We start from the raw sequence: 20055 nt of genomic DNA on the forward strand, positions 1-20055 counted from the left end.
TGTGCAATTTGTTTTTTTTCGCCACTTAGCAATATATCTTTAACATCTCTCCATATTTTTTTTACTCATTCTTTTAAAGGACAAAATAATATTCCATTCATAGAATATACAAGTACTATATATTTAACTAGTCCTCATCAATGGATCTTCTGGAAGTTTCCATTCTTTGTTGTTATTACAAACCATGCCACAATAAAAAATATATACCCAATATATATTATATGCATATATTCATTTATAGAATAAGTTCCTAGCAATAGAATGTCTAGGTCAAAGAGCATGTGTGTTTTAAATACTGGTAGGTACTATTCATTGTACCTCAAAAAGGTCATACCAATTCCGTTGCAATGTGTAAAAAAGAGCCTCTCCCTCCATCTCCATCTCTGTTTCCCTCACCTGCTCCCCTCTCCTTGGGAAGGTCAGCCTCAGTCCACCCAGCTAATGATCCTCACCTCCTAGGAATTTGCAGCAAATTCTCCAGAGACTCTGGCCAATGACTCTATCCTGAGTCACGCGCGAAGTATCAGCCAAAAAACTGAGCTCTCCTTGAGCCCAAATCAAATGGAATAAAAATAAGAGATAGTTATTTTAAAATACTGTCCGAGTTAGCCCTGTTAACCCTCCTGAGGGAGGACATACCCCCAAAAAAGGGAGGAGTCCTCTCAAGTGGAAACTGCATTTTATGAATGATGAGGGCAGAGCCTCTGGAAGTTGGGCAGGTTGTGCCCTCAAAGGGACCCCCACCAGGTGCACAGAAGAGGGGCTGAGATCTAGCTCGTGCTCTACTAACCCACCAGAAAGGGCATCATACGTTTTGTAAACGTCCACCCCCCAGGGGGCACCACCCTCCACTTTTGCACAAACAAAACCATATGTGCTAGTCAAGGCCCTGGATGAAGTCACTCTTCTGAAATTTTGGCCTGTGCAAAAAATTCAAATGCAAACTTGCATCACCTCTGGGAAGACAGTGGGTACATTTCTTTGGCTGCGCTGTTTCTCATTCTCTAGATGGGCCCTGGCTGCTTGGAGGTACCAGGCTGAGGCTCGTTACCACTGACTCCAGGGCACTCCGACGGCCTCTTCATTCACCACCCGCAGCTGCAGGCTGGCATGGTGGTACATTCTGGGAGCCAGGTGCAGCCCCGGCTGTTCAGACTCAGAAGAGGATTGGGAAATGACAAGCATCTGCCCTAGGGTTTGTGGGGGTTGTTTCTGTGTTTTTAGCAGGCCTAGTAGTAGGTCTGTTTACCCAAAGAGGGGAACAAGTTCCTCTGAGAAGGTGCTCTGCCATGTGACAGTCACGCATTCCAGCCCCGGCTGTTCATTGCTTCTCAGCATCTGGGGGCTGGTGTGGAGGAATAAGCCTGCCTTGGGGGAACCCAACTTTTCCCCCGAGGGCGGATAATTGCAAAGGCCAGCACCTGTCTCTGCAGATGGGGTCCTTCCCCGGGACCCTGCCCATCCCTGGGGTGGACTTTCACCACTGGAAACCTGGTCTAGCCACTTCTGCCTCATGCTTGGGCAGAGGCTGAAGAAGCCTCTCAAATGATCACAGATACAAGACGCCATGTGCAGGTGGGGACTTGGCTATGGCAAACCGCTAGCCCTAGGTTCTTCCTTTCCCTTCCCCTCACATGTTACGGCAGGCCCGACAACGGGGCATGGCCAAAGCAGGCTGTGAACTCAGCTGCTCCACGTTCACCCACAGGCCAGGCATAAACACTGGCAGGCCCGTGTGCCCAAAGTAAATGTTTTTAGGCAGAAGGCACAAACACTCAAGAAATAGCTGCCTGCCTCAGTCCCACCAACATGGGCTCCTCAGATACATGAGCAGCACAACAAATTCTTCTTGGCTCTGTCCACAGTCTGATTTCTCTCACCTCTAAAATGGGCTCACAACCCTCTTACCTCTTCCTTCCCTCTCTACCTTCCAGGGCTATGGTAGGGACCAAGGAGCTGACATGAAAGAAAATGCTGCATGAACTACAGCATGCTCTTCGGACTCTGGTTATGATGATGATGATTAACCAGAGTGTCCCATCCCCTGGGTGGCAGCAATTGGTTGTGGGGGGGTAATAACCCCAGCCAGCTAATCTGTCCTTCCTAGGTCTTCTCTGCCACAGCTGTTGAGGGTGACTGCCTTTCTGCTGGGTGTGGTATGTGCTGAGACTGGAGCTGCTGGCAGCCCCCTCACTTACCCTATGAGGAGAAGAGAGTGTTAAAGGTACAGAGAGACTGGCTGGGTGTGATGGCTGATCCCTATAATCCCAGCATTTTGGGAGGCCCGAGGCAGGAGGATTGCTTGAGGCCAGGAGTTTGCAACCAGGCTGGGCAACATAGTGAGACCCCCGTCTCTACAAAAAAAAAAAAAAAAATAGCTAGGTGATATGGTTTGGCTCTGTGTCCCCATCCAAATCTCATCTTGTAGCTCCCATAATTCCCACGTGGGAGGGACCCAGTGGGAGATGATCAAATCATGGGGGAGGGTCTTTCCCATGCTGTTCTTATGATAGTGAATGGGTCTCACGAGATCTGATGGTTTTAAAAACAAGAATTTCTCTGCACAAGCTCTCTCTTTGACTCCTGCCATCCATGTAAGATGTGGCTTGCTCCTCTTTGTCTCCCCAGCCATGTGGAACTGTAAGTCCAATAAACCAGTTTCTTTTGTAAATTGCCCAGTCTCAAGTATGTGTTTATCAGCAGTGTGAAAACAGACTAATGCAGTAAATTGGTACCAGTAGAGTGGGGCATTGCTGAAAAGATACCCGAAAATATGGAAGCAACTTTGCAACTGGGTAACAGGCAGAGGTTGGAAAAGTTTGGACGGCTCAGAAGAAGACAGCGAAATGTGGGAAAGTTTGGAACTTCCTAGAGACTTGTTGAATGACTTTGCCCCAAATGCTGATAGTGATATGGACAATAAAGTCCAGGTTAGGGTGGTCCCAGATGGAGATGAAAAATTTGTTGGGAACTAGAGCAAAGGTGACTCTTGTTACATTTTACCAAAGAGAATGGGGGCATTTTGCCCCTGCCCTAGAGATTTGTGGAATGTTGAACTTGAGAGAGATGATTTAGGGTATCTGGTGGAAAAAATTTCTAAGCAGCAAAGCATTCAAGAAGTGACTTGGGTGCTGTTAAAGGCATTCAGTTTTATAAGGGAAGCAGAGCATAACAGTTTGGAAAATTTGCAGCCTGACAATGAAATAGAAAAAAAAAATCCATTTTCTGAGGAGAAATTCAAGCTGGCTACAGAAATTTGCATAAGTAATGAGGAGCCCAATATTAATCCCCAAGACAAAGGGGAAAATGTCTCCAGGGCATGTCAAGGGTCTTCACGGCAGCCCCTCCCATCACAGGCCTGGAGGTTTAGGAGAAAGAAATGGTTGTGTGAGCCAGGCTCAGGGTCCTTCTGTTATGTGCAGCCTAGGGACTTGGTGTCCTGTGTCCCAGCTGCTCCAGCTGTGGCTGAAAGGGGCCAACATAGAGCTCAGGCTGTGGCTTCAGAGGGTGCAAGCCTCAAGCCTTGACAAATTCCATGTGGTGTTGAGCCTGTGAGTACACAGAAGTCAAGAACTGAAGTTTGGAAACCTCTGCCTAGATTTCAGAAGATGTATGGAAATGCCTGGATACCCAGGCAGAAGTTTTCTGTAGGGGTGAGGTCCTCATGGAGAACCTCTGCTAGGCAGTGTGAAAGGGAAATGTCGGGTGGGAGCCCCCACACAGAGTCCCACCTGGGGCACCACCTAGCGGAGCTGTGAGAAGAGGGCCACCATCTTCCAGATCCCAGAATGGTAGATCCACTGACGGCTTGCACCTTGCACCTGGAAAAGCCGCAGACACTCAATGCCAGCCCATGAAAGCAGCCAGGAGAAAGGCTATACTCTGCAAAGCCACAGGGGTGGAGTTGCCCAAGATCATGGGAACTCACCTCTTGCATCAGCATGACCTGGATATGAGACATGGAGTCAAAGGAGATCATTTTGGAGTTTTAAGATTTGACTGCCATGCTGGATTTTGAACTTGCATGGGGCCTGTAGCCCCTTTGTTTTGGCCAATCTCTCCCACTTGGAATGGCTGTATTTACCCAGTGCCTGTACCCCCATTGTATCTAGGAAGTAACTAACTTGCTTCTGATTTTACAGGTTCATAAGCAAAAGGACTTGCCTTGTCTTGGATGAGACTTTGGACTGTGGACTTCTGAGTTAATGCTGAAACGAGTTGAGACTTTGGAAGACGGTTAGGAAGGCATGATTGGTTTTGAAATGTGAAGATATGAGATTTGGGAGGGGGCAAGGGCAGAATGATATGGCTTGGCTCTGTGTCCCCAGGCAAATCTCATCTTGTAGCTCCCCTAATTCCCACGTTGTGGGAAGGACCCGGTGGGAGATGACTGAATCATGGAGGTGGGTCTTTCCCATGCTGTTCTCATTCTAGTGAATGGGTCTCACAAGATCTGATGGTTTTAAAAACAAGAGTTTCTCTACACAAGCTATTTGCCTGCTGCCATCTGGGGAAGTTGAGGCTGCAGTGAGCTGTGATCGTGCCACTGCAGCCAGGGTGACAGAGTGAGACCCTGTTTAAAAAAAAAAAAGAAAAGAAAAGAAAAAAAAGTAAGAAAGAGAGAGAGAGGTAAAGAGAGACATGTAGCCCTCACTACGCTCACTATGCTTGAGCACCTGGATGTAGCTATGCCTGAAGCCAGATAAACCCTGGGATTTACTGGTACATGAGCCAACTTTCCTTTTTCTGCTTAAGATAGTTTGACTTGAGCTTCCAATGTTTATGACTAAAGGAATTCCAACTATCTCTTGGTTATTTTAATAATTTATATATTAGTTTTATGATCATAAAATAAAGTTTTTAAGAGAAGAAGCCTGGCTAAAGTTTCTTTAAGTTAGTATACCTATCAATAGTATGAGGAAGCAGAAAAAGTATTGAACAGGGAAATCAGGCAACCTAGATTCTCTGCTGGACCCACAAAAATTGCTGTATGACTTTGAACAAGTTTCTTAAACTGTCTAGACTCCAATAAAATAAAGAATCAGAGTTAGTGATATCTAAGGTATCGTATAGTGCTAAAAGTCTTTGCTTCTATAAAAGAAGACCTAATTAGTCTGATATAAATTGTTCTTAACCAAGACTTTTTATAGAAATGTTAAGAATAAAGACTAATAATTTAAAACATGTCAAGCACTTATAATAAAACCCTTTAAATTGACAACTTACATATGAGACGTCCTCATATATACATGCAAAATATTCATTGCATCACTCACTGGTTAAATTGGAAAATTTAGAAACAAAAATTGAGAACAGCCCGGTTAGACAAATTCATACAATGGAATATTATGTAATTACAAAAACGAAATGAAGAAACTTTATATTTTGCTGTGGACAATATCTAAGGCACATTTTTAATTGAAAAGTGCAAAATCCAAAGTGGTTGTGCTGTGTAAAAAGAGGAGGGAAAGTCAGATAGATTTAATTCCTGGTGCATGCATGGATTATCTCTTGAAAGAATCTCAAAAAAAAAAAAAAAAAAAAAAAAAACCTGCTACCACTGATTACCTTTGGAGAGACTGGGTCTTATTTTTCATGATACAGTATATCCTTTTATCTTTTGAATGTCAAAATATGTGACTGCCAGGCACAGTAGCTCCTGCCTGTAATCTTAGCACTCTGGGAGACCGAGGCAGGAGGATTATCTGAAGCCAGGAGTTTAAGACTAGCCTGGGTAGCATAGTGAGACCCTGTCTCTACAGAAAAGACAAAATTAGCCAGACATGGTGGCATGCACTTGTAGTCCCCACACACTGAGGAGGCCAAGGTGGAAGGAGTGCTTGAGCTCAGGAGTTGGAGGCTATAGTGAGCTCATTGCAACTACTGCACACCAGACTGGGCAACAGAGCGTGACCCTACCCTCTAAACAAAAATTAAAAAATAAAATTAAAAAAACTGTACATGTAACTGTATTACCTACTCAAAGTCAAATAAATTTTGGAAGTTTTTAATTTAAAAATTACATAAGGCTTTTTTGGTACTTATGGTCATGTCAGGGTGACATGTAGCCTAGCTACCTGTAAGTCTTCGAGACCAGCATTTCTCACACTTCATCGTGCATTCTGAGGATGCACTCCAGGGGATCGTGATAAAATGCAGGTTCTGATGCAGCAGGTCTGGAGCAAGGACCAAGCTTCTGCACGTCTGACAAGCTCCAGGTGATGCTGCCGCTGCAGGCCAGGACCGCACTTTGAATGTAGGTCTAGAACCACACTGATCAATACGGTCACCACTAGCCACCTGTGGCTACTGAGTGCTTGAAATGTGGCTAGTCCAAAAAGAGATGTGGGGATGTGTAAAATACACAATGGAATTGAAAAAGAGTATCAAAAAAGATCATAAATGATTTTATATCGATGACATGCTGAAATGATGTTTTTGATATGTTGGGTTAAATGGAATATATTATTGAAATTCATTTCCCCTGTTTCTTTTTCCTTTTTTTAATGTAACCACTAGACAAAGTAAAACAACACACATGGCTTGCATTATATTTCTATTGCATCATGCTGTCTAGGAGAACCTGATCTCCTACAACCTGCAACAAGGCAGGGGTTGGGACAACCTTGTCATCACCCTGGAGTATTTGCAAGGGTCTGTAAATTGGTATAAGGACACTGGAGACTTGGGAGAGAGCACATTGAAGAATCTGGCACCCACTCACCCCTAACAAATAAAACTTCTATTTAAGTGAAATACGGATTGAAGCGAACAATCAAAGCAGTCGTAACCCTGGAACTGTAGGTAGAGCTTTTGCAGAGCAGAGTCAGCCTAAGGGACCAGTGTTGCAAGGAAGGAGTGAGGTACCTTTGCCAGGCAGCCAGGCTTGACAGTCTGCAATGCTGTGGTGACAGTGGGAGGAAGTATGTCAACTCTACTTGCACCACTGAACAGCACTGTCCCTACCACCCTGAGTCACATCCCAGCCTGGCACCCTCAAAAACAAAGATGCGTTTAAAGCTAAGGGCCTGGGGTAATCACTTGGCTTGCTGCAACACAGACACAGGTCTGAAGACAGCCAAATAGTCAGAAGTGTAATATTAGATCAGCATAGGCCAGGCATGGTGGCTCATGCCTATAATCCCAGCACTTTGGGAAGCCAAGGCAGGCAGATCGCTTGAGGCCAAGAGTTCAAGACCGGCCTGGCCAACATGGTGAAACACTGTCTCTACTAAAAACACAAAAATTAGCTGGGAGTGGTGGTGCACATTTGTAATCCCAGCTACTCGGGAAGCTGAGGCAGGAGAATCACTTGGACTCGGGAGGCAGAGTCTGCAGTGAGCCGAGATTGCACAACTGCACTCCAGCCTGGGCAACAAAGCTAGACTCTGTCTCAAAAACATATATATATTAGATTAGTATAGACATAACGCCACCAATTCCTTCTGTGTGGCCACAGAGCAATCTGCATCACACGGGTAAATTGTAATCTCAAACTCTTCCATCCTCATCCAAGGTAAGTGCAATTTTTAGTGAATTGGCCCCTTTTTGTGTAAGATGCTCCAAAGCTCATACAGGGTAAGGGGTAGAGGGTCCACGGTGTATTATCTTCTCCTTAGAAACATACAAACTGGGCCAAGATTTCTTTACTTGAGGCCACAAGAAAAGTATCACATGACCCGAAAGAGCTGCACATCCTTCAGTTCTGTTGGGAAATTCATCCTGCACCTGGGCTGGGGTGCAGCCTTTCTTTCCTCCCTGGGGTGGCAAAGGGAAGGCATGAGACACCCAGAGGGGAGAAAAGCTCAGGTGGACACGTGGTCATGTTTCTACTCAGCAGGCACAGAGGTGCACCCTTAAGCATGATGTGGGCATGTTCCCTCTCCCAGAAAACTTAGCTCTATGGACAAAGGAGCAAACCAACCTTGTCCTGGGCCCAGCCCAGTCCTCCCACCTTTCCCATCACAGACCCAGCCAAGCTCCAGAGGGCACTGACCAGGTTTTATCTCCAGCAGCCGCAGTTTTGGATCTTCAGGTGGGTGCAATCGTCTCTTCTTGCGCCAGCAGCGGGCAGGGTATGTATACAGCTGGCCCGGGGCAAGGCCTGTGGACAGAGACAATATAAAGATTAAAGGCTCCAGGCTGGAAGGGGCCTTGGAAACTACCCTGACTAACCCCGTCATTCACAAGGAGAGGAAGCTGAAGCCCAGAGAGAAGTGACTTGTCAACATCACAAAGCTGATTGCTAGTGGTGGCAAGGCTGAATCTAGGTCATCTGACCCCAGGACCCTGGCTCTGTCAGCTCCACCATGCTGTTCAGCAAGCCCATGCCAACGAGAGCCATTGCCTTCACCAAAACCAATTCTGCTCTCCTGCCTGGAGAGATCACCAACTGGACCTTCAGACAAGAAGGACCTTTGCAGTGTCTCCAAAGCAGTGGATCTCTATCCACTGCCCCTCTATCCTGATCCAGGTTAAGCAGGTTCCCTTCAAAACGGAGCAGCAGTCAGTTGGCCTACTGTATGGACAGCCTGGGTTGAGAAGCATCGCAAAGAGACAGAACCAAAAACACTAGATCTACTCAAAGGCGTCTCCCACCCACTCCCAGCTGCTGGCAGCTCACTGTAGGCAAATGGAGGCTTGTGTAGCCCCCATGAGAACATAAACCCACTCTGGTGACCAGGCCACATGACCTGCAGAGCCCGCACACCTCTATATCCCCGCCTACATGCCTGGGCCTTACAAAAAAAAAAAAATAGGCAGGAGGCCAGGGGCTGGGCTTACGTGCCACCCTGTGTGTGTGGCCTTTGACACCAACAGCATCACTGTCATGCCAAGCACCATGAGGAGCCTTCCTGCTCACCCGACAACAATTGTGTGTGGCTCTGGTGGCAGCCACGGGCCTTAGAGGAACAGGGACTTCTCCATGCCAGGTCACAGACTATTCCCAGGGAAATGGGGCGGGGAAGAGGCTGAGGGGTGAGGAGGCAGGTATTTGAGACTGGCTAGGTAATTTTCAGACTGGCTAGGTGATTTGTAGTCCTGAAGAGAGTGTCTGATACCCCCCATAATAAACCAGCAAGCCAACAAATCCCTAATAGGAAGAAAAGCCTAATGAAGACAGGGACTTTTTTGTCTTGTTCTTGTCAGAAGCCCCAGAATCAGAACTGTGCCTGACACAGAGCAGAACCAAACTAAATACTCATTGAATTAATGAATGAATATATTGCAGCTTCCTTTAAAATCACAACTCTGTCTTCTGCAGGTAAATGTGGCACATGGCAGCTGTTGGACGCAGGCGGCCTACCACAAAAGTGTCACTGTGCACACCTAGGACCATGGATTCAGAAAACATCAGCACCTGATTCCCATCTGCCGTCTTCCATTTTAGGGCCCTTAAAAGTTAAGAAGGGAAACTGGCTTCATTTTTCACCTTTGCAGAGAAAATCTATGTAACTTTCATTGCTATATACTCATTCATTCATTTTCATTTTTACCAGTCAACTCTACCCATTTATTGGGATGGGGCCAAAACAAAGTCAATTATCCCAGCATTAAAGGAACCAAAATACTCAGGTCTCTTTATGTTTAATCACACAGCTGCTCCACAGGTCACAAGATTGTGAACAAGTTGGAGGTTCTGACCACCCCACCCCTTTGGTTCTTAGAAACTAGAACTGACCTGGACTCAGAAATGTCAGAATTGAATGACCATTGGCCCTGCTGTTCCTGGCTCCAGGGGACTCATCCACCCAGATCCAAAGCATCCAAGAGGGACTCCAGAAGTGGAGGCCCAGGCCTGAGGCCAGAGCCCCCTGCACCCCCTCTCCCACCATGGCCATCTCTGGGCCTTAGGTTTCCTTCGTTCCCCAGTGGCTGCTTTACGGTGCTTCCAACCTAATCAAACACAGGTAAGTAAGAGTGAGCTGGCCCCCACCAGCACCCTCCAAAGGTCTACGTGGCAAGAGTGCAAAAGTGTCCACACTTGTCCAGGTCCTACACCCTCCCTGAGACAGCAGTCACTGTGCTTGGTGGTCAGCGGTACCAGAGAAGCCCCAGGCCACTCTGCTTGGAGCTTTAGACCCATTCTTCTGGGAGAATTCATTTTAGCAACTAGTTTGAATCTCCAGAAGAAGGGGCTGTTTTTGTTCCATTCTTTCTCTGCTGGATTGGAGACACTCTGCAGTGCAAAGGAAGAGCACGTGAGTCCTGGGAAGCATCCTAACACCTTTCTGAGCCTATTGCCTCACCTGTAAGATAAGGGCATTGATAACATTAATACCTACCTCCTGGGGCTGTTATGGGGATTTGCTTATATTCAAGAGAAAGCTCTCTATATCCACAAAGATGACAAATGTCAGTTGTTAATTGTCATGAGTTAGCTGACCTAGTCTTGGACTCCACACTCATGCAACATGACAGACCCCCTGCCCCATCCACCATGCTGCCACTTGGTTCTTTAGCCATGAAGGTGGAAACAGGCTTCTTTTTGATGTCTGCTTTGAATCCACCTCATCACAACAAGCAAATGGTCGCAAGAGCTCTCTTGGAGCTCCCTGGCCCCTTCCTTGCCCTCCTCAACAGGCTGACAGGCACCAGGGTTCCTTTATAGGAAAAACACGTTCAGCCCTGGAGTTCCACTTACAGAGGGAAGAGCAGGGCCCCATGAGACTTATGTTGTTTATCTCAGAACAGGAGGCAGATAACTCAAAGCATGTGTGTGTGTGCATATGTGTGCGTGCATGTGCATGTGTGGTAGATGGAGGTGGGGAAGGAGGATGGAGTCACAGCTGCTGTCAGGGAAATTAACCTTGGGGAGTGAGCCTAGGGCTGGGGAGGGGACATGAAGGAGGGGAAACAAGTGGCCAAAGACAAGAGGGGAAACCAGTCCTCCCTGGTAACCAAGGCCACTGCCACCCCTCACTTCACATACCCCACTGAGCAAACTACTTTTCTGTTACTTTGAGCTGCAACTCGAGCTACAACATTCCTGCCCATGTGTAAGCACAAATGTGATGCACAAAGACACACACACACAATCAAAAACTCACACACTTGCTGGGAGAACTGGCTCCATGGAAATACCTGGCATTGAAAGGCTTGATGCCTTTATGGTTAGCAGACTCCAGACAAATACAGCTGGTTATGCACATTGCACAAGTTCAGCAGGTGGATCCTGAGGGTTCTGGGCATCTCTCACAGACAAAGCATGAGCTATTCAGAATTTAGAAGATGAAATGGGAGAGAAAAGAGAGGGAAGAGTGGCCGGGTACAGTGGCTGACGTCTGTAATCCCAGTACTTTGGGAAGCCAAGGCCAGCAGATCACTGAAGCCCAGGAGTTCAAGACCAGCCTGGCCAACATGGTGAAACCTCATCTCTATCAAAAATACAAAAATTAGCCAGTATGGTGGCGCATGCCTGTAATCTCAGCTATTCGGGAGGCTGAGGCAGGAGAATTGCTTGAACCCAGGAGGTGGAGGTTATAGGAGCTGAGGTCATGCCACTGCACTCCAGCCTATATGACAGAGCAAGATTCTGTGAAAGAAAGAAAGACAGAAAGAAAGAAAGAAAGAAAGAAAGAAAGAAAGAAAGAAAGAAAGAAAGGAAGGAAAGAAGGAAAGAAAGAAAGAAAAGAAAAAAAGAAAGAAAGAAAGAAAGAAAGAAGAGAAGAGAAGAGAAAGGGAGAGGGAAAGAGGGGGAGAGAGGGAAAGAGGGGGAGAAGGGGAGAGAGGGAGAGAGGAGAGAAGAGGGGAAGAAGGGGAGAGAGGGAGAGAGGGACAGAGGGGGAGAAAGGGGGAGAGGAAGGAAGGAAGGAAGGAAGGGAGGAAGGGAGAGAGGGAGGGAGGGAGGGAGGGGAGAAGAATGATATGGGATAGGAACAGCAATTGAAATGGGGAAGAAAAAAACTGAAGTAGTTTCATCTTTCCCCATCCAGAGCTGAACTGTGGCAGTTCAAGCCCCCCAGGGAAAGGCTCTCTCTCTGCAGGATCTCAGAGAGGTGGACCCACAGCTGCCCCTGAAACTTCCTTTCAATGGAGAATTTATTATGTCACAGGACACAGTGTCCCACTGTCGGCCAACTCTTACTGTGATAAAGAGATTCACCATGACCTTATTTTGAATCAAAATCTATCTCCCTATAAGTTATACCAATTTGTCCACCCTCTGTTCCAACAGCAAACAGCTACATCCCAATCCTGCATCCCATATATCTGCTTGGGTTTGAAGGGCAGCTAACCAAGAAGCCGAGGAACTAAAGAGGAATAAGAGTTGTAGGAAAGAGTTAGTGACTACCCCTGCTCAGAACCGGGTAACAGGATCAAAGTTTCCAAATAGAAAATGACAATACAACAATTTAAAATACAATTTAAAAAAATACAATATAATACCTATTTACATAGCATTTACATTGTATTAGGTATTATAAGCAATCTAGAAATGATTTAAGGAATATGGGAGAATGTGTGTAGGTTATATGCAAATACTATGCCATTTTATATAAGGGACTTGAGTACCCACAGATTTTGGTATCTTCTGGGGTCCTAGAACCAATTCCCAGTGGATACTAAAGGATGGCTGTTATGTATATAACATACTATCATTTATTTAACAAATGGGGATACACACATATTCAGACAAATATATGTGTGTGGTGTGTTTGCATGTTTTTTTTTATGGGGGTATAAGCCAAAAGCTAAAAAAAATTACCTAGAGAGAGAGCAAAAATAAAATAATAGTAGCAAGAAAAAGAGAAGGACGAAGAGGAAATTGCCTATACGAAAAAGAAACAGGGTAAAAGTGAAGATACAGTTAGACTTTCTCATAATATACCATTGGAACAATGCAAATATTTTACACAATTATAAAGTAAAATTAAATTAAAATAAAAAGCATACATCCGTTTCTGACTAAAATGGAGTATAAAGACCAGATTTAGCTCCCACCTAAAACCAAAAGAGAGGAAGAAAAAAATCAACAACAGTTTTGAAGACAATGAACATCAGGCATTGAAGGACAGTGATCCCTGAGACACTGAAAACAAGCAAGATAAGCCCTGTGATTGCCCCAGCTTACAGCCTTAAGAGAGTCTCCAGACTGGAACACAAGGAGGAGGAATACAGGTGGAGACCTGCAGATTCCCCACGTTTGAGTTGAAGAGAAAATGCCAAGAGTCTGAGGAGACCACAGTGACTAGAACCCAAGGAACTGAAGGGTAAACAAAAGAGAGCTGCACAGAGAATGTGGAGATCCAGAGGGTCCCTTTCAAGTATTCAGCTTAGCGTTGATCCATTTATGCCTGTGAGGAAACTAGATAGGACTGGGAAAAGAACTACCCAAAAAGATTAGAGGTAACAGCGCTCGGTGTGCACAAGGGGGCGGAAATAGTCTGTTTCCACCAGCCAATATGGAAAACTGTATGATTCCCGGGGTACTGGGTAGAGTACAGTAGAAAGATCTTGCCTCACTAATAGGGAATACTTAGCCCTAGACTAAGTACTGCTCTGGCTCCACCTAACAAATCTTAAAAGCAAGACAAGAAAACATCAAACTGTTTTCAAATAACTTAAATATGTCCCAAAACAATGTTCAAGAACATTTATAGGAATAAAATATATCTACAGCATTCAGCAAGGTAAAATTCACAATGTGAGGCACCCAACCCAAAATTACAAGGCATGTAAAGAAGCTGGAAAATATGACTTATAATAAGGAGAAAAATCAATCAATTGAAACCAACCCAGAACTGAAACTGATATTAGAATTAGTAGCAAGAACATTAAAACATTATTTGTATGCTCTGTGTTCAAGTTTAGTAAAAATTTGGGAGATACATATGTATTTTTAAGACTCAAATTTAACTTCTAGAAATGAAAACTATAATGTGCAAGATGAAAATCATATCAGAGGGAGTTAATGTCAGATTAGATATTGCAGAAGAAAAGACAGATAAACTTGAAAACACAGCAATAGAAACTATTCCAAAATGAAACCCACAGGAAAAAACAGAAAAGAAAAAAAAATAATGGCATAAATGAGCTGTGGGGCAACTTCAAACAGCCTAATATATGTGTAATTGAAGAAAGGGAAGAAAAAATATTTGTAGAAATAATGGCTGGAGGCTGGGTGCAGCGGCTCATGCCTTTAATCCCAACACTTTGGGAGGCCAAGGTGGAAGAATGCCATAAGCCTGGGAGTTTGAGAGCAGCCTGGGCAACATAGTAAGATCCTGTCTCCACAAAAGAGAGAGAGAGAGAGAGAGATGAAAGAGAGACAGAGAGAGACAGAGAAAGGGAGGAAGGGAGAGAGGGAAGAAAGGGAAGGAAGGAAGGAAGAAAGAAAGAATTTAAAAAGAAATAAGGGCTGGAAATTTCTGAAATTTGATGAAAACTATAAACCCATAGGTCTAAGCAGCTCAATAAAGCTAGGTACAATAAACATTAAGAAAACTACAGCAAAGTATGTCATAATCAAAACTGCTCAAAAATAGTGATAAAGAGAAAATATTAAAAGCAACCAGAGAAAGGAAACATGTTAACATATACAGGAACATTCTTATCTTTGCAATGCAAGCAAGAAAAGAGTGGTTCAACATCCCTACAATACTGAAAGGGAAAAAAAAACTTGTCAAACTAGAATTCTATACCCAGCTAAAATATCTTTCAAGAACTAAGGCAAACTAAAGATAGTTTCAGATATACAAAAGCTGAAATAATTCATCATCAACAAACCCACACTCTAAGAAATGTTAAAAAGAAGTACTTTAGGCAGAAGGAAAGTAATACCAGACCTAAATTTGGATCTACACAAAGGAATGAACAGCATCAGAAATGGTCTAGTACATGAATAATTATACGAGATGTTTTTCTTATTATTTTAAACTCATTAAAAGATGATCAACTATTTTTAAAAATACAATGATGGCCGGGCGCGGTGGCTCATACCTGTAATCCCAACAATTTGGGAGGCCAAGGCAGGCACATCACCTGAGGTCGGGAGTTCGAGAACCGCCTGACCGACATGGAGAAACCCCATCTCGACTAAAAATACAAAAATTAGCCAGGCATGGTGGCGCATGCCTGTAATCCATCAACACATCTACTCTGACTCTGAACTCCTCCTGCCTTCCTTTTATAAGAACCCTTGTGATTACATTAGGCCCACCTGGATAATCCAAGATTATCGCACCATCTCAAAATCCTTAATCCTGTCTTCGAAGTCCCTTTTGCCATGTAAGGTAACATACGCACAGATTTCAGTAATTAAAATGTGGATGTCTGAGGTGAGGAGGGGCCTTATTCTATTAATCACAGTACTATTGTAGACTCCTTATACTATTCATGAAATAGAATAATATAATTTGAAAGTTAACTATAATTAAAGATGTACACTATAAACACTAAGCAATCACTAAAATAACAACAAAACAAGAGTTATAGTTAATAAACCAACAAAAAAGAGAGAAAACATAATCACATTAAATGTAAATTGCCTAAATACCCCTACTTAAAAAAGATTGTCAGATTACATGTAAAAAGCATAACACAACTATATGCTGCCTATTAAAAAACTACTTTTAATATAAAGATGCAAATAGGCAAGAAGTAAAAGAATGGAAAAAGATATTTCATGTTAATATTAATCAAAAGAGAGCTGGAGTGGCTATATTGGAATTAGACAAAGGAGATTTCAGATAAAATAATATTAATAGAGATTAAGAGGATTATTTTATAATGATAAAGGAATCAATTTATTGAGGATATAACAATACTAAATGTTTATACACCTAATAACAAAGCTTCAATATACATGAAACAAAAAGTAATAGAATTGTAAGGAGAAATAAGCAAACCCACAATTATAGTCATAAGTTTCAATACCCTACCTCTCAATGATTCATAGAATAAATAGAAAATAAGGATGTAGAAGATTTAAAAAACATTATCAACCAATTTGACCTAATTGATATTTATAGAACATTCCAAACAACAACAGCAAAACACAATTCTTTTCCTGAGCAAACAGAATATTTACCAAGGTAGACCACATTTGGTGCCATAAAACAAGTTGCAATAAATTTAAAAGAATTTGAACCATAAAAATTATTCTCTGACCATTTGGAATTAACATGGAAATAAATAATGGGCACAACTTTGGAAACGTCCCAAGTGTTTGGAAACTAAACAATACAGTTCTAAATAATCCATGAGTAAAAGAAGAAACCAAACAGAAAAATATTTTGAACTGAATGAAACTAAAAACCCTATATCAAATTTTTTAAATGAGGCTTACATAGTATTTATGGGGAAATTATATCAGAAAATGATGTAGTAGAAAAGAAATATCTTAAATCAATGACCTGTTTACACCTTAAGAAATAGATAAACCTACTATGTACCATAAAAATTAAAAAATTAAAAGAAATAAGAAACAGAAGAGCAAATTAAATCCAAAGTAAATAGAAGGAAATATAAAGATCAGAGCAGAAAAAACAATTCTACCAAAAGCTATTTATTTGAAAAGATCAATAAAATTGATAAACCTCTAGTCAGAATGATGAGGTAAAAAATAACATTCAAATTAACAATATAATGAGTAAAATAATATGCCACCACAGATTCTACATATATTAAAAGAGTAATGCAGCAATATTATGAACAACTTTGTGCAACCAATTAGGAGAATGTAGATAAAAGAAACAAAATCACATACTAACAAAGCTTACTCAAGATGAAATAGATAACCTAAATAGCCCTATATCTATAAAATAAATTAAATTTATAATTAAAAACATTACCTCAAGGAAACTGCCAGATCCAAATGGATTCACTGGTAAATGTTATAAAATATTTATGGAAGAAATAATACCAATTCTATATAAAGTTTCAGAAAAGTAAAAATGAAGAAATACTTCCCAACTCATTATATGAGACCAGCATCACCCTGACACCCAAACCAGACAGACATTACAAGAAAACTATAGACTAATATCTCTCATAAACATAGATGCAAAAACTCTAATAAAACTTGAGCAACATGAATCTAACAATACATTAAAAAGATAAAATAGCATAACAAAGTGGGGTTTATCCTAGGAATGTAATGTTGGTTTAACATTCAGAAATCAATCAATGTAACTCATTATGTTAAATGTAAACTTAAGATATTAAATTTAATCAACCATTCCTACATAATGAAGCTTCCATGAACAAAAGAAAAACCACATGATCATCTCAATAGACACAGAAAATCAGATGACAAAATCAAATATCCATTTGTGATTTAAAAAAAAAAACTCTCAAACTAGAAATAGAAGGGAGCATCCTCAATCTGATAAAGAATATCTACAAAAAATTCTACAGCTAATGTCATACTTAATAACAAAAAAATAAATAAATGCTTTCTCTTTAAGATCAGGAACAACATAAGGGTGTCCAGTCTCACCACTTTTACCTAATATTATGTTGGAGAGTCTAGCCAGTGCAAGAGACAAATAAAATAAATAAAAGTTATTCATATTAAAAGAAAGAAGTAAGTTTTCTTTATTTACTATTCAGGTTATCTACTAGCAAACTAACAGATAATCAACTATATAGAAAATGCTACAGAATCTATAGAAAGCTATTAGAACTAATGAGTTTAGCAAGGTTGCAGGATATAGGAAGAATATACTAAATTAATTGTTTTTCTATATATTAGCAAACATCAGAAATTAAAATGTATAAAAATTTATTTATAATAGTATCAAAAAGTATTAAGTGCTTAGAGACAAATCTGACAAAAATGTTAAAGATCTATACACTAAAAATTAAAAATCATTGATGAGAAAAATTAAAGAAGATATTAATAAATTGAAAGATATGCCATATTCATGGGTTGCAAGACTCAATACTGAAAATTGTCAATTTTCCCCAAATGGATCTATAGATGCAAGACAATCCCAACCAAACTCCTAGCCAGTTTTTTGTAGAAATTGACAGACTGATTATAAAATCCATATAGAAGTGCAAAAGACCTAGAATAATCAAAATAACTAAGAAAATCAAGAACAAATTTAGAGGGCTAACACCACCTGATTTCAAACATTATAAAACTATAATAATCAAGACAGTGTGGTAAGAGTATAAAGATAGACAAATAGGTCAATAAAACAGAACTGAGAGTCCAGAAATAAACACACATATATGTGGACATCTAATTTTTGACAAGCCAATTAAGTGGAGAAAGACGAGTCTTTTCAGCAAACTATGTTGAAACAATTGAATATCCATCTGCAAGAAAATAAACTAATGCATACTTTGTACCATATACAAAATTAACTCAAAATGAATCATAGACCTAAATGTGAAACCTAAAATTATAAAATTTTAGGAAAAAAAAATAAGAGAAACCCTGACCTTGCATTAGGTAGTAATTTCTCAGACATAACATCAAAAGCACAATTCATGAAAGAATAAATTGATAAACTGGATTTCACCAAAATTGAAAACTTCTGCTCTTTGAATGAGACTGCTAAGTTAATGAAAATACAAACCACAGATTGTAAAAAAAAATTTGCAAAGCATAGGTCTGATAAACTTATTGTATCTAGAATATATAAAGAACAATCAAAATTCAATAATAAGCAAATAGCTCAATTTTAAAATGGACAAAAGATTTGAACTTTACCAAAGAACATATATGGATGGTGTAATATTGTGATATAATGAGAAATGTATATTTTGGTCTTAATCCCCACTTCCTGGCACACAGTTCCTAAAACCCCTGGCATCTCCAAGTGATGTGTCTTTTTATATGCTAATGAGATGACCCTGGCTGGGACCTGCTGGATAGCCTCTGGATAAGGGATTATAAACAGCGGAGCCAACCACAAGATTAGCAGGCTGTACCTTTTAGCCCCAACTCTAACTTCCCACCTCTGACCTCCAGGAAGAAAAGAGGCACTAGTAGTTGAGCTAGTCACTAATGGCCAATGATTTAATCAACCATTCCTACATAATGAAGCTTCCATGAAAATCCAAATGGACTAGATTCAGAGATCTTTGGGTTGATGAACATGTGGGGGTGCTGGGAGGGTGGCTCACCTGGAGAAGGCATGGAAGCTTCATGTCTCTTTTCCCCTTACCTTGCCCCGTGTACCTCTTCCATTTGGCTGTTTCAGATACATGTCCTTCGTAATAAACTGGCATTCTAGTATGCAAACTATTTTCCTGAGTTGTTTTTTTTTTTTTTTTTTTTTTTTTTTTTTGAGGCGGAATGTCGCCCAGGCTGGAGTGCAGTGGCACGAACTCGGCTCACTGCAAGCTCCGCCTCCCGGGTTCACGCCATTCTCCTGCCTCAGCCTCCTGAGTAGCTGGGACTACAGGCGCCCACCACGCCCAGCTTATTTTTTTTGTTGTATTTTTTAGTAGAGATGGGGTTTCACCGTGTTAGCCAGGATGGTCTCGATCTTCTGACCTCATGATCCACCCGCCTCAGCCTCCCAAAGTGCTGGGATTACAGGCGTGAGCCACCGCGCCCGGCCTGTTTTCCTGAGTTCCAGCAAATGATCAAACATGAGGGGCAGTCATGGAAACCTCCATTTATAGCCCATAGGTCAGAAGCACAGCTGACAACCTGGACTTGAAATTGGCATATGAAGTTGAGGCAGTGCTGTGGGCTGAGCCCTTAGTCTGTGGAATCTGACGATATCTCACAGTAGATAGTGTCAAAGTTGAGTTAAACTGTGGAACACCCAGTTGGTGTCCGCAGGGAATTGGAGAATTGCTTGGTGTAGGGGAAAAGACATCCACACATCTGCTCACAGAAATATTGAGTAAAAGTATAGAGAATAAAACAGTTTATTTTCCCTCACAGATGGCAAATAAGCACATGTGAAGATGCTCAAAATCATTATTAACTAGGGGAATGCAAGTTGAAACTGCAATGAAATACTACTATATATCTATTAGAATGGCTAAAAAAATTTTCAAACTGACCACACCAAGTGTTGGCAAGGATACAAAGGAAGTGGAACTCTCATATATTGCTGGAGTCAATGTAAAATGGTACAACCA

The 20055-nt window shown here is 41.8% G+C and overlaps 1 protein-coding gene across 4 annotated transcripts in view; it reads right to left on the reverse strand.

The window, feature by feature from the left end:
* DPF3 (double PHD fingers 3) overlaps positions 1-20055 on the reverse strand; it is a 285068-nt gene that overhangs the window by 136234 nt on the left and 128779 nt on the right. For all 4 annotated transcript variants that reach the window (NM_001280542.3, NM_012074.5, NM_001280543.2 and 1 more), the window contains one exon: positions 7997-8104. In NM_001280542.3, coding sequence (NP_001267471.1) covers positions 7997-8104 — 108 coding nt within the window. The remainder of the gene's footprint in view (positions 1-7996; positions 8105-20055) is intronic.

Source organism: Homo sapiens, chromosome 14 (genome assembly GCF_000001405.40).
Source record: "Homo sapiens chromosome 14, GRCh38.p14 Primary Assembly".
Classification (NCBI taxonomy): domain Eukaryota; kingdom Metazoa; phylum Chordata; class Mammalia; order Primates; family Hominidae; genus Homo; species Homo sapiens.